Below are 15,288 nucleotides of genomic sequence, written 5' to 3'. Positions count from 1 at the left end.
AGAGGTTGCTGTGAGCTGAGATCACACCATTGCTCTCCAGCCTGGGCAACACGGCAAGACTCCGTCTCAAAACAAAGCAAAAAAAGAAAGAAGAAAGGAAATAATGCACATGGACTGCCGGGCACTTACTAGGTATTCAAAAAAGATGTCAGTTTCCTTATTTCTTCAATCCTTCTAAATCTTTTTTCACTTTGGCTTACAATCTGCAAGAGCTCAGCTTGGGGAGATTCCCAGGTGTATTCACTGCTGGGTGACATGGACCTTTGTGTATCCCTGAGCTTTATTCCTTCATGCTGTGGACCCCAATTTCTCACATGAGGCAGAGAGGCAGGAGGCTTCACTCACCTGAGGCGGGGAGTTCCAGGGGCTCTAGGGGGTTGGACCCATGAGGTCTGAGTCCCGGCCAAAGGAAAGTGAAAGGACACTCTGCCCATCGGGTATAAGCCCCAGTTCCTGTGTCGGCGAGTAGGAATGGGCTGCCTGGGTTCAAGTCCTGGATCTGCCATTTACAAAGTGTGGGAGCTCGGATAGGTCATTAGGTTCTTTGTGCCTCAGTTTCCTCATTTATAAAATGATAGATGGTAGTATGAATCTTATGAGATGGTTATGAAGATCAAAAGGGACACTGCATGTAAAGTACTTAGAACAGTGCATGGCTGAGTAACAGCTTGGTTTTTAAAAGGTTCACTTTTATTGTTCACTCATCTATTCTGCAGGCATTCACTGAGTAGCTACCACGAGCTGCCATCACGCAGAGCTGCAGAGATACCAGATGATCACTACACTATGTGTCCTTACGTAGCTTACCTCTAGGGGAAAAGGCAGCCCCTCAAACAGGTTGCTGGGATCAGTGGGTGGAAGCCATGAGGGAGTTGTCTAAGGTATTTGGAAGCACTGGGAATGGAGACTTTACATAATATAGGACTTTTGGAGAGACAGGGTGAAACTAGGTCCCTCAGGAGGCCCCAAACTGGCCACAACAAGAGCAGGGTAACCCTCCCATAGCAGCTGGAGAAATTCACCAGGAATGAGTCTCCAATTTGCCCTGAGCCCTGAGTGCTGCACCCTGTGTGATCCTCACTGCCAAGGGCTCCTGAGCAAGTGAGTGGGCAGTGCTGACCTGAACCTTTACTTGCCCCCAGGGATGGAGAGAGGCTGGGTCAGAGTGAGAGAGTTTGGCTCCGTCTTGCAAAGCCAGGCTTCAACCTCTCCATCCCCATTTCCCTGGGGATAAACATGTCACCAATTGGTGTTCTCTGAGCCTTGCAGCAAGGGAAAGAGGAGGAAGGTATCAGAGAATTTGAAAAGTATGAGCCTTTTCTGTTTTATTAAATAAACTCGCAATCAGGCATGGTGGCTCACGCCTGTAATCCCAGAACTTTGGGAGGCCAATGCGGGAGGATCACTTGAGGCCAGGAGTTTGAGGTTAGCCTGGGCAACATAGGGAGAACTAAGCACTACAAAAAAAATTAGCCAGGTGGAGTAGTGAGCATCTGTGGTCTCAGCTACTCAAGACGCTGAGATGGGAGGATGACTTGGGCCCAGGAGGTCAAGGCTGAGGTGAGCCATGATTGCGCCGCTGCACTCCAGCTGGGCAACAGAGTGAGACCTCGTCTCAAAAAAAGAAAAAGAAAAAGACATTTGGCACAGAATGACTGCGTTTCCCCTGGGAGGAGTGAGACCAGTTCCCTATTGCTATCCCCGGTGACAGGTGGCAGAGACAGGCTGAGGAAAGCTTCCACATGACCCGCTGGGTTTGGGAGGCCAACTTGGGCTCAAAGGTGGTTGAATTCTTCCCTCACAGGAGCCTCATGCATTTGGTGAAATCCCAGAGGAAATTTGGTGAAATGCCCACTGCATGAGTGAGTGGAAAGGGCTTGGGCCCTGGACTCCATCACTCATGGGTCACAATCCTGCCTCTTCCATCACCTCTCTGCAGGCAGGTTCCCTGCCTTTCTAGCCCCAGTTTCCTGCTCTGTTGAAAAATATGGCAGCAGGGGCGGGTGCTGGGGCGTGGTGGCTCATGCCTGCAATCTCAACACTTCGGGAGGCTGAGGCAGGAGGATTGCTTGAGCTTCGGAATTTGAGACCAGCTGGGTAACATAGTGAGACCCTCCCTCTATATATATATAAAAAAGAGTTTAAAAAGATGAGGGGATAATAATTTCCATATCTTTTTCTGTGTGACCCTGGGAAACCAAATTCATCTCTCCAATGCCCATCTCTCATTTCCTCATCTAAAACCTGGGGATATATATTAACTGGAACTCTGCTAACTGGAAAAAAAAAAAAAAGCAGAAACTATATTAGTTTCCTATTGCTGCTGTAACAAATTAGCACAAGCCTGGTGGCTTAAAACAACACAGATTTATTATCTGACAATTCTAGAGGTCAGAAATCCAAAAATCAAGGAATTGGCAGGGCTGGTTCCTTCTAAAGACTCCAGAGGAGAATCTGTGTCCTTGCCTTTTCCACCTTCTAGAGGCCGCCTGAGTTCCGTGGCTTCTGGTCCCTTCCTGCATTATCAAAGCCAAAAGTGTAGCAGCTTCAAATCCCCCTCCCCCTCCCTCTCTGACCTCTGCTTCCACCATCAACTCTTTTCTCACTGAGCCTCCTACGGCCCTCTTATAAGGACCCTTGTGATTGAGGCCCACCCAGATATTTCAGGATAATCTCCCATCTAAGATCCTTAATCACATCTGCAAAGTCCCTTTGACCATGTAAGGTAACATACTCAGTTTTCAGACATGGACATCTTAGGGGTTGTTTTTGTGCCTCTCACAGAAACCAGCTTGAGTGAAGTTAGGCAGGCAGTGAAGAGACACTTATTAAAGTTTACCCAGCTGCTCACAGAACTTGCTTTGGGTGTTTGACACACAGTGGGACTTCAGTAAATAAATGTTTGTTGAGTGAAAGCGTGAATGAACCAAAAATAAAAAGTAGGGAAAAAAAGAATGAATGAATATGAACCCAAGGACAGAGACACAGACAGTTCTCAGGACCAAACAAGAGCATGGACTGAAAAGCTGTAGGGACCCCTCACCCTTCCCTATGTCATTCTGCTCTGCTGTGCACACCAGCCCTGGGCTTCCTCCACAGACAGCAGCCATCACCACACTAGTCCTGGGGCAGATGTCAGATAGTTACCTTAGTGCTCCTGAGTATGGTAAATTTGGAGCCACAGAGTCAGTATCTGTCTGTCAGTCTCTTTTGCTCTATCTCCCACCTCTTCATGTCAAATTTACATTAAAGGAACTTTGATTGGCCCAGGTTAGAACAGGTGTCCACTCTGGCCCAATCAGCTGTGGAAGGAGGTGGTTCACCTGGTGCAAAATGGCTGCTGTGGCCAGGCCATTGCTACAGCATTCTCTGTAGCCTGATAAGCCCTCCATGGGAGAGTGCGAGTGTTCAGAGCATCCTGGCTCAGAAGAGCTTGGCAAAGGAGTCAGGTCTCCCACCCTCATGCCCACTTTCATGCCTTCTTGTTCCCACTTTTTCCCACAGGCCACAGAGGAACGCTTGAAGAAGGAATCCAGCCACAGCCTCCAGATCCAACACCAGACACACCGACTGGAGCTCCAGGCCTTGGAGGAAAAGGCCAGGCAAGAGCTGCAGGAGGAGCGTGAGAGGATGCAGGCACAGCAGGCCCTGCTGCTAGGTATACACCCAATAGTGTACTGAGGAGGGCCTGGCCAACTGCAGGGTCTGCATGTAGAAACCAGAGACAAGCTGAGGGCCAGGGCTCCAGGGTTCTCGGGCTCACAGGCCACGGCTCCGGGAATCTCAGGCTCACAGGCCAGGGCTCCAGGGCTCTCAGATTCACAGGCCAGGGCTCCAGGCTCTCAGGCACACAGGCCAGGGCTCCAGGGGTCTCGGGCTCACAGGCCAGGGCTCCAGGAATCTCAGGCACACATGTCAGGGACAATCCTGGCTCTGCCACCAACTAGCTGTGAAACCTGGGATGGCTTACTGTGAGTCTCATTTTCCTTTTGTATAAAATTGAATTACAGTTGTCCCTACCTCATAGGCTCACTGTGTGGATTAAATGAGATATTAAACATAAAGGCCGGGTGTGGTGGCTGACGCCTGTAATCCCAGCACTTTGGGAGGCTGAGGCGGGTGGATCACAAGGTCAGGAGATAGAGACCATCCTGGCTAACACAGTGAAACCCCGTCTCTACTAAAAATACAAAAAATTAGCCGGGCGTGGTGGCAGGTGTCTGTAGTCCCAGCTATTCGGGAGGCTGAGGCAGGAGAATGGCGTGAACCCGGGAGGCAGAGCTTGTACTGAGCCGAGATGGCGCCACTGCACTCCAGCCTGGGCGACAGTGCAAGACTCAAAAAAAAAAAAAAAAAAAGATATTAAATATAAAGTGTCTAGCATATAACAGGAGCCCAGTGAATGTAGATACTATCATTATCATCATCATCATTATTATTGCATGTAACCCAGATCTCTGAGCCTTCATATGAGTTTCATGGCATTGCCTCAACCTCTCATTTCTGTTCTGAAGATTTCGGCAAATTGGAGGATCTTAGGCCTCCAGGCTCTGCTTCCTCTGCCTGCCCCCACATCATCCCCAGCACAAAACTCTCCCCCTTTTCAGTTGCCACATCAATAAAACCACTCACACACAGCATCTTCGAAGTTAACAGAGGTAAAGATCTCTAGAGCCAAACTGCCTGGGTGTGAAGCCCAGCTCTAACACTCACTAGCTGTGTAACTTTGGGTAGGAATTTGCTTAACTGCTCTGTACCTCAGTCTCCCATCTCTAAAATGAGGATAATAATAGCATTCACTTCACTGGGCTGTAATGACAATTACTTGAGTAAATGCATGAGAAGTGCTTCAAATAGAGCCTGGTATGCAGTAAGTCTATCTAAGTGTTCCCTGTTACATTATGACTGAATGTTTCTTTTCTTCTTTTTTTTTTTTTTTTTTTTTTTTTTGAGACAGAGTCTTGCTCTGTCGCCCAGGCTGGAGTGCAGTGGCATGATCTCAGCTCACTGCAAGCTCCGCCTCCTGGGTTCACACCATTCTCCTGCCTCAGCCTCCCGAGTAGCTGGGACTACAGGCGCCCGCCACCACGCCCGGCTAATTTTTCTGTATTTTTAGTAGAGACGAGGTTTCACCGTGTTAGCCAGGATGGTCTCGATCTCCTGACCTCGTGATCCACCCACTTCAGCCTCCTAAAGTGCTGGGATTACAGGCGTGAGCCACTGCGCCCGGCCATGACTGAATATTTCAATGTTGTATGCCTGATTCTGGAGACCTCTCTCATTTTTGTAGATCATCCCTGTCCCTCATTTTCTCCTTTACTGTCATCTTTCTTACTCTTAAGAGCAAGACAAATAACCTCTCACCATTTCATGCTGAGCACTAAAGATCATGTTGGCTTTATTAAGTATTTCTTCCAAACCTAGACAGGGCTCTCCTTAAGAGATTTCTGGGTGCTGAGTGTGGTGGCTCATGCCTGTAGTCTCAGCACTTTGGGAGGCCAAGGTGAGAGAGGATCACGTGAGGTCAGTAGTTCAAGACCAGCCTGGACAACATAGCAAGACCCCCATCTCTTTAAAAAAAAAAATTAGGAAAAGTAAAAAGAGAATTCTGGAGGACAGCATTTTCTTTACCTCCATAAGTGAGTTAGGCTCTACCTTGCTGCTTGGTTGAGTTCTCATTAGAAAGCGTGTCCCACTGACTGCATGTTTCTGAGGAAGTGGTGTGAGGAGCAGGAAGGAAAGAGTTTCGTAGACTTCCCAGTTAGCAGCTACCCTGGAATGGAGGTGCCTACATGGGAAATGCTGAAGTTAGCAGCATGTAAAGATAGAACCCAGGCTGTGCCACATGGCTCAGGTCCAAGGCTCCCCATGTACAGGTCAGGCTGGACATCCTGGTGATTCCAACACCCAGCAGCAGCTGCCAGTGCAGCTGTCCCTGCCACCCCTTCCCTGGCTTTTCTGACTCCACAGCAGCCCCATTCTTCCCCAAAGAAAAGAATCAGGAGAGATCCCTGGAAAGACCCTGGGGAAAGGCTGGGCTTCTCAGCACCAGTCCCAAGAAGAAGGGGCTTTGTGGACTCTGTGATGACAACAAATCATAGGCTTCAAGGGAAGGTGCAAGCACCTACAGTAATGGCAGGTTGATATGAGATATTCCTGATGCTGATTATTCTTCTTCTTATATCTGTGTGAGACACAACTGACCTGCAATACTATAGGTCCCTGTGAGAGGGCAGGGAGGGTGGGTGTTTACTAGAGGGTTGGGACCTAGACATGCTAGATGGATGGATGGATGGATGGATGGACAAGTGGATGGGGGTGTGGGTGGATGGGTAGTTGGGTGGACAGGTGGAGGGACAGAAAAATGAGTGGATGGATGGACAGGAGGAAGGATGGATGGATGGATGGACAGACAGACAAATGGAGATGTGTGGATGGGCAGATGGTTGGGCAGACAAATGGGTGGACACACAGATGGATGGGTGGATGATTGGGTGGGCAACCAATGGGTGGACACACGGATGGGTGGATGATTGGGTGGGCAACCAATGGGTGGATCAGTGGATGGATGAATGGATGGACAGATGGGTAGACAGATAGATGGGTGGATGGATGGATGAGTGGGTGGATGGATGGATGGACAGGTGGATGGATGGACAGGTGGATAGAAGGATGGATAGGTAGATGGATAGATGAATGGTGGGAAGGTATGAGAGAGGAGGGTAAAGAATGAATACCCTATAATTTATGATTTGGTAAAGAGTTTTATTGCATATATCTTGTGATAACAGTTTTCAAAAAATGGGGTTATGTTTGGATTTTTTTTTAAGAAAATAAGCTATAGAAATCACTTTATCAAAATTCTGCTGGAAAGATTACGAAGTAAATTTTTTTTTTTTTTTTTGAGATGGAGTCTTGCTTTGTCACCCAAGCTGGAGTGCAGTGGTGTGATCTCAGCTCACTGCAAGTCCCACCACCCGGGTTCACACCATTCTCCTGCCTCAGCCTCCTGAGTAGCTGGGACTACAGGCACCTGCCACCACGCCTGGCTAATTTTTTGTATTTTTAGTAGAGACGGGGTTTCACCATGTTAGCCAGTATGGTCTCGATCTCCTGACCTCGTGATCCACCCACGTCGGCCTCCCAAAGTGCTGGGATTTCAGGCATGAGCCACCACGCCTGGCCAATTTTTCATCTTAATATCATCCAAATACACTATGCTTTTACATGTGCTTAATATAGTTAACCTTTGAGGGAAGGTTAGTAAGCTTATAGGAAAGCTTTTATAATGAATACACTTTTATCACCTCATCCATTTTCACTCTAAAGATCATTTGTTTATTTTACAAATATATGTTGAGCACTTGCTCTGTACTAAAACCTGTGCTAGGTGCTTATGGAATGATCAGAACAATGTTTCAAAGGTTATTTTCAATAACTAAAATACAGAGTCTCAAAAGCTCATTACAGAAAAGTGAAGTATCAAATTTACAAGCACTTAAAAAGTATCTTTTTTAAAAGGAATATCTCACTAAATAGCATCTGCTCTATCAGAAAATATTCATTTTGAAATAATTGTTTCAATCATGCCGGGAAGTGTCTAGTGTACTAGAAATCAGTCTCCATCCTCAGAGGGGAAGCTGGAGTTGGAAGCTCGAGTTTCTGGCCTTACTCTCCCCTGAGTTTAAGAGAACGTACACATCTCTCCTGGATGATTCCATTTTAGTCCCTATCCTGCTGGGATGACATGCCATCTCCTACCTCCATGATCCAGCCAAGACCCCACACCAGTGGAAAGAAGAACCTGTGAACATTTTGTCTTAAGAGGATATTGGCCGGGTACTGTGGCTCACGCGCTATAATCCCAGCACTTTGGGAGGCTAATGTGGGTGGATCACTTGAGGTCAGGAGTTCGAGACCAGCCTGGCCAAAATGGTGAAACCCCATCTCTACTAAAAAAAAAAAAAATACAAAAATTAGCCAGGTGTGGTGGTGCTTGCCTGGTCCCAGCTACTCCGGAGGCTAAGGCAGGAGAATTGCTTGAACCTGGGAGGTGGAGGCTGCAGTGAGCCGAGATCGTGTCACTGCACTCCAGCCTGGGAAACAAACCGAGACTCCATCTCAAAAAAAAATAAAAAAGAGTTGACATAAATTTCAAAATTTCCAACTTGAGACCATCGCCCCCAGAAGAGGCCTTTTCGGTCATTTGATAATTTCCTGTTCTTTGCCTGGCCTCCTAACTTGATGCTGAGGCCAAGCGTTGTCACAGAATGCCCTGGGCTCAGGCCATGCTGCCCACACCTGCCACCCATCCTAACCAACCAGTAGAGGGCAAGCACGGGGTTCAGAGTGAAGAACCACTTGAAATTTTGCATCTCAACTCCACCATTTAATAGCTGTGTGGCTTTGGGCATTGTGCTCACCCTCTCTGATGCTCAGGTCCCTCATCCTAAAATGAAGCGGGGGTGGGGGATAATTCATACCAGAAAAGTTGGTGGTGGGACTTAAATGAGAACAGTTTTCACACATGGCCCTGTTGTTACTGTTACCTTGGAAAAGGTTTGGGGAACCTAACCCACCACAAGCCTTCAGCAGCCACCCACGTCATCCAACCCCACCCCAGAGACTGTTGTCCCCATGACACAGGCTTCAGCCTAGACCCAACGCCTAACTCACTGCTGCTCTCCCTTTTCCAGAGTCGCTCAGACAGGAGCTGTCGGAGCAGCAAGCTGCCTGTTCTGGGCACCAGAAGGACTTGGAGGCACTGCAGGCCGAGCTGAGGGCTCTGGGCAGACAGCAAGCCAGCAGCCAGTGTCCAGGAGACAGCAAGGATCACATAATCGCCACAGAGGTCAGTGCCCCCGCCCTTGCACCAGCAATACCCCTCCCAGAGCAGCATCAGGGCCGCAGTAAGAAGCCCCATAAAGGATGGGCTCTGAGGCTGAGTGCAGTGGCTCACACTTGGAATCTAGCACTTTGGGAGGCCAAAGCCAGAGAACCACTTGAGGCCAGGATTTCAAGACCAGCCAGGGCAACATAGCAAGACTATATCTCTACAAAAAAAAATTGAAAATTAGCTGGGCGTGGTGGCATATGCCTGTAATACTGGCTCGGGAGTCTGAGGCAGGAGGATCACTTGACCAGGAGTTCCAGGCTGTGGTGAGCTATGATTGTGCCACAGTACTCTAGCCTGGGCAACATAGCAAGACCCTGTCTCAAAAAAAAAAAAAAAAAAGGGATGGGCTCTGGGTACTTGGTCATTCCCCTCCCCCCTGCCCGAAGTGGGGAAGACCCTTCTCCACAGGCCTGTGGGATACTTGGTGGGCCTGCAGGGTCTTGTCTTCGAAAAGAAAAAAAAAAAGGTTTTAAGTGCTGCATGTTATTTATAATTCAGACGCAATGGTATCTCAGGGTGTTGGTGCTAGATAGGCCCTCGATGCAGCTGGTCTGGGCTACTCCTCTGGATCTGCAGAACATTTTGAATTTCTCAGAACATTTTACCAGACAGGCTCCATCTAGACCTTGCTGTTCCCCTAAGTGGAGCAGCTTTGTTGTCACCCAGGCTCAGTGCCAACTCTCTTTCCTCTTCCTGCTCAGACTTTGCCCATCAGCCCCTTCCCTGCACATCCATCATTCCTGGTCTAGCTGGGTGGCAGTCACCTCCTAACAGCCCAGCCCTCTCTCCCTCCAGTCCATAACGTACAGCTTCAGCTATTCTCCCAAAGCCCAGCATCACTTTCTTTTCTTTTTTTATTATTATTATATTTTAAGTTCTAGGGTACATGTGCACAATGTGCAGGTTTGTTACATATGTGTGCATGTGCCATGTTGGTGTGCTGCACCCATTAACTCGTCATTTACATTAGGTATATCTCCTAATGCTATCCCTCCCCACTACCCCCACCCCACAACAGTCCCCGGTGTGTGATGTCCCCCTTCCTGTGTCCAAGTGTTCTCATTGTTCAATTCCCACCTATGAGTGAGAACATGTGGTGTTTGGTTTTTTGTCCTTCTGATATTTTGCTGAGAATGATGGTTTCCAGCTTCATCCATGTCCCTACAAAGGACATGAACTCATTCCTTTTTTATGGCTGCATAGTATTCCATGGTGTATATGTGCCACATTTTCTTAATCCAGTCTATCATTGTTGGACACTTGGGTTGGTTCCAGGTCTTTGCTATTGTGAATAGTGTTGCAGTAAACATACGTGTGCATGTGTCTTTATAGCAGCATGATTTATAATCCTTTGGGTATATACCCAGTAATGGGATGGCTGGGTCAAATGGTATTTCTAGTTCTAGATCCTTGAGGAATCACCACACTGTCTTCCACAATGGTTGAACCAGTTTACAGTCCCACCAACAGTGTCAAAGTGTTCCTATTTCTCCACATCCTCTCCAGCACCTGTTGTTTCCTGACTTTTTAATGATCACCATTCTAACTGGTGTGAGATGGTATCTCATTGTGGTTTTGATTTGCATTTCTCTGATGGCCAGTGATGATGAGCATTTTTTTCATGTGTCTTTTGGCTGCATAAATGTCTTCTTTTGAGAAGTGTCTGTTCATATCCTTCACCCACTTGTTGATGGGGTTGTTTGTTTTTTTGTTGTAAATTTGTTTGAGTTCTTTGTAGATTCTGGATATTAGCCCTTTGTCAGATGAGTAGATTGCAAAAATTTTCTCCCATTCTGTAGGTTGCCTGTTCACTCTGATGGTAGTTTCTTTTGCTGTGCAGAAGCTCTTTAGTTTAATTAGATCCCACTTGTCAATTTTGGCTTTTGTTGCCATTGCTTTTGGTGTTTTAGACATGAAGTCCTTGCCCATGCCTATGTCCTGAATGGTAATGCCTAGGTTTTCTTCTAGGGTTTTTATGGTTTTAGGTCTAACATTTAAGTCTTTAATCCATCTTGAATTAATTTTTGTATAAGGTGTAAGGAAGGGATCCAGTTTCAGCTTTCTACATATGGCTAGCCAGTTTTCCCAGCACCATTTATTAAATAGGGGATCCTTTCCCCATTTCTTGTTTTTGTCAGGTTTGTCAAAGATCAGATAGTTGCAGATATGTGGTATTATTTCTGAGGGCTCTGTTGTGTTCCATTGGTCTATATCTCTGTTTTGGTACCAGTACCATGCTGTTTTGGTTACTGTGGCCTTGTAGTATAGTTTGAAGTCAGGTAGCATGATGCCTCCAGCTTTGTTCTTTTGGCTTAGGATTGACTTGGCGACGCAGGCTCTTTTTTGGATCCATATGAACTTTAGTTTTTTCCAATTCTGTGAAGAAAGTCATTGGTAGCTCGATGGGGATGGCATTGAATCTATAAATTACCTTGGGCAGTATAGCCATTTTCACAATATTGATTCTTCCTATCCATGAGCATGGAATGTTCTTCCATTTGTTTGTATCCTCTTTTATTTTGTTGAGCAGTGGTTTGTAGTTCTTGAAGAGATCCTAAACATCCCTTGTAAGTTGGATTCCTAGGTATTTTATTCTCTTTGAAGCAATTGTGAATGGGAGTTCACTCATGATTTGGCTCTCTGTTTGTCTGTTATTGGTGTATAAGAATGCTTGTGATTTTTGCACATTGATTTTGTATCCTGAGACTTTGCTGAAGTTGCTTATCAGCTTAAGGAGGTTTTGGGCTGAGACAATGGGGTTTTCTAGATATACAATCATGTCGTCTGCAAACAGGGACAATTTGACTTCCTCTTTTCCTAATTGAATACCCCTTCTTTCTCCTGCCTGATTACCGTGGCCAGAACTTCCAACACTATGTTGAATAGGAGTGGTGAGAGAGGGCATCCCTATCTTGTCCCAGTTTTCAAAGGGAATGCTTCCAGTTTTTGCCCATTCAGTATATGATATTGGCTGTGGGTTTGTCATAAATAGCTCTTATTATTTTGAGATACATCTCATCAATACCTAATTTATTGAGAGTTTTTAGCATGAAGGGCTGTTGAATTTTGTCAAAGGCCTTTTCTGCATCTATTGAGATAATCATGTGGTTTTTGTCGTTGGTTCTGTTTATATGCTGGATTATGTTTATTGATTTGTGTATATTGAACCAGCCTTGCATCCCAGGGATGAAGCCCACTTGATCATGGTGGATAAGCTTTTTGATGTGCTGCTGGATTTGGTTTGCCAGTCTTTTATTGAGGATTTTTACATCAATGTTCATCAGGGATATTGGTCTAAAGTTCTCTTTTTTTGTTGTGTCTCTGCCAGGCTTTGGTATTAGGATGACCAGCATCACTTTTCATAAAGCCTTTGGTGGTTCCCATTGGAGAAAGCTCCAAATGCTTCAACTTGGCATTGAAAAGCTTCCACCACTGATTATGACCTGTATGTCCTGCCATATTCCCTGCGGCTCATAAACCCGGCATCTGCACCCTCCCTTTGGCCTTCGCCTGTGCCACTCCTCCTGCCTGAGATGCTGCCCAGCATATCTCATGCTGGGGGCCTTCCCTGGCACACAGTGGCCCCCTCTGGCTCTGAGATCCTGGAGCACTTGTTGTCAAGACAGCTCAGCTGGCTCTAGGATCTACCGCCCGGTCCTGTTGGGGACATGCCATTTCATAGATGTCCTTGTTGCCTAGACTGGATCAGGAGTCTTTTGAGGATAACCTGTCTGCCTGCCTCATCGCCTCCCCACCCCCACTCCCAGCCCTCAGCAGGGTCTCCACCAGTGCCTGTGGGTGGTGAGGATTCATTGGTGGCCAGTCCTGCTGAAGGACCGGGGGACATGGGAATCATGTGTGCCAGATTTAGCTGTTGCTGAGCATAGGAAGGCAATTTCTGTGTTTATGTGAAAAATATTAACAAATGATGAATCACAGGTTAGCCCAGTGGTTAGGTCTAGCAGAGGGAAGACAGAACGTGTTCCATTAAGTGTTTAGATGGGTGGGAGCCACTGGTACCAATGGGAGGGGACGGGAAATGTGGGATGGAGACAGCTGGGGACTGGGCCATGGAGGGAGTCAGTGTTCACCTGAGGGCTCTGGATAGAAGCCAAGGAGCACTGAGTACATGAGCCGATACGTGGCCACCCATGCACCAGCCCTCACCTTTGCCCCATAGGAGGGAAGCCCTGAACCCTCTAGAAGGAAAGTGTGGTCTCAGGTGATACCCCACACAGAGAGGAGATGCAGGGGTGTCGGCAAAGAGGAACAGCCCAGGCAGCAGGAGTCAAAAAGGAAAGGGGAGGGGACACAATGCCAGGCTGCAGGCCCAAGCTGGCCACCGCTGAGCTAAGTGGAGTCTGTCCTACTGGGATCTAATTCTCATATCTCTCCCACCCAGAGACCCAAGAGGGGAATGCATTTTTCCATCTGTTTCTGTCCTCCATTGGTCAAGGATTGTCCCCACAGAGCAGTAACCCCCCTGCTCTTGCTCTTCCAGGCTATGCATGTGAGAGTGCCAAGTGGGTGCCCACGGGCATCCCACATCATGCCAACCCCAGAGCAGGAAGGCAGAGACATGGGGCCTGGGCCACAGATTCTCCCCGTGCACAGCTGTGCAATTACTGTGTGCAGTGAACTAATACATGCACAAGTGGTCGGGCATGTTTGAGTGAATTTGAAAACTGGAACATTCACTAATCACAGATTAAATCTGACTCCATTTGCTGTTGGACAGCAATTTTTGTGTTTCTACCTGAACTACAGACATTCTAGCACAATTCTGTTTAGCAAGCATTCACGTGGCACCTATAGAATACACCAGGCTAGGTGCTACAGGGTTGGAAAGATGAAGAGAGGAATAGCTCCCAATCTAGCCAAGGAAACCAGCATGGACACATATTCTCTTCAGTGTCACCCCTTACAGAGCCAGAGTTAGCAAGATTTGGTGGTATTAGAGAAAGCTTATCAGTTCCCCCTGAGAGGTAGGGAAGACTTCACTGAGGCAGTATCACTTCACTGAACACTTAACTTCACGGAGGGAAGACTTCACTGAGGCAGGCATGGAGGGCACCCTGGCAGGTGGAGTGTGGAGTGTGGTTGGTGTTCATTTGGATGCAAGACCCATTCTTAGCTCAGCAGTTTTATTAAACTCTAAGGGCCAGATTTGGCCAACTCCCAAAGGAGGAAATTTTTTAAGAGACTAGATGGGAGTCCCTGCAGGGAACTCAGGAGCCTGCCACAGGCTCCAGCCTGGGCGGGGTGCCAGTGGGTCTCCATCTCGCCGCAGCACATCTCTGGCCCTTTCTGCCTTGTCTGCCCCTGCGCCTCCTGAAAACACCTCTCCTGGTTGCCTTCCTCAGGAGCGGGGCGGCCCGGGCCAGGCCGGCTCCCCACCGGGCGCTGCTGGGCAGGGTTCCGGCGAGGGATGCGGGCTCTGGGAGGAGAACGCGCAGCTCCAGGACGCGGTGCGGCGGCTGCGCGCGGAGGTGGAGCAGCATCAGCAGGAGGCGCAGAAGCTCCGAGACCAGCGCAGGTGGGTGACCCGGCGCGCCCCGCCACCGCGCCACCCTCACCCCCTACCCCGCCACCCCCCCTCCCCCTACTGCGGCTGGCTGAGCCTGAGACCTGAAATGGGTCACTGCCTCGGCATCCTGCCCCACAAGACACTAGACACTGAATGCGCCAGCATTTCACAGATGTTACTCCTCTGACCCATGAAAAGTCCCAGAGCTCCAGAAATTCTGGATCTCAAAACCGCAGAGGAAGTGCCTTGAAATAAAAGAGGGAGTCTGGCTGGGCGCGGTGGCTCACGCCTGTAATCCCAGCACTTTGGTTGGCAGAGGCGGGCGCATCACGAGGTCAGGAATTCGAGACCAGCCTGGACAACATGATGAAACCCTGTCTCCACTAAAAATACAAAAAAAAAAAAAAAAAAAAAAAAAAAAGGCCGGGCGTGGTGGTGTGTGCCTGTAATCCCAGTTATTCGGGAGGCTGAGGCAGGAAAATCGCGTGAACTCGGGAGGACCAGGTTGCAGTGAGCCAAGATCGCGCCATTGCACTCCAGCCTGGGCGACAATGCAAGACTCCGTCTCAAAAAAAAAAAAAAAAAAAAAAAAAAAAAAAAAAAGAGGGAGTCCTGTTTGTTTCCCTGCAAATCAGGGCATTTATGAGACTGAGAATTGGACCAAAAGTGTCATCAAATCCAACCTTACGGAGACGGTGTAGTGGAATAGTTCAGACCATGCGGTGTCTTCTTAACTAGCTGTGCGCTCTTAATTAGCTGTGTGAGGTTGGGTGAGTTAGCTGACCTCTCCCAGACTGAGTCCTCTGTAAAATGGGGATAAGACTCCAGCCTCGGCTGGCGTGGTAGCTCACGCCTGTAATACCAG

General features: G+C 48.0%; 1 protein-coding gene across 2 annotated transcripts in view; it reads left to right on the top strand.

Annotated features, from left to right (window-relative positions):
* The window catches only part of FAM184B (family with sequence similarity 184 member B), a 152,316-nt gene that overhangs the window by 125,134 nt on the left and 11,894 nt on the right, over positions 1-15,288 (top strand). For both annotated transcript variants that reach the window (NM_015688.2, XM_047450066.1), the window contains exons 11-13: positions 3,505-3,658; positions 8,697-8,851; positions 14,260-14,432. In NM_015688.2, coding sequence (NP_056503.1) covers positions 3,505-3,658; positions 8,697-8,851; positions 14,260-14,432 — 482 coding nt within the window. The remainder of the gene's footprint in view (positions 1-3,504; positions 3,659-8,696; positions 8,852-14,259; positions 14,433-15,288) is intronic.

This window comes from Homo sapiens, chromosome 4 (genome assembly GCF_000001405.40).
Source record: "Homo sapiens chromosome 4, GRCh38.p14 Primary Assembly".
NCBI lineage: Eukaryota > Metazoa > Chordata > Mammalia > Primates > Hominidae > Homo > Homo sapiens.
Note: the sequence above shows the minus strand (reverse complement) of the source record. Positions and strands in the feature narration are given on the sequence as shown.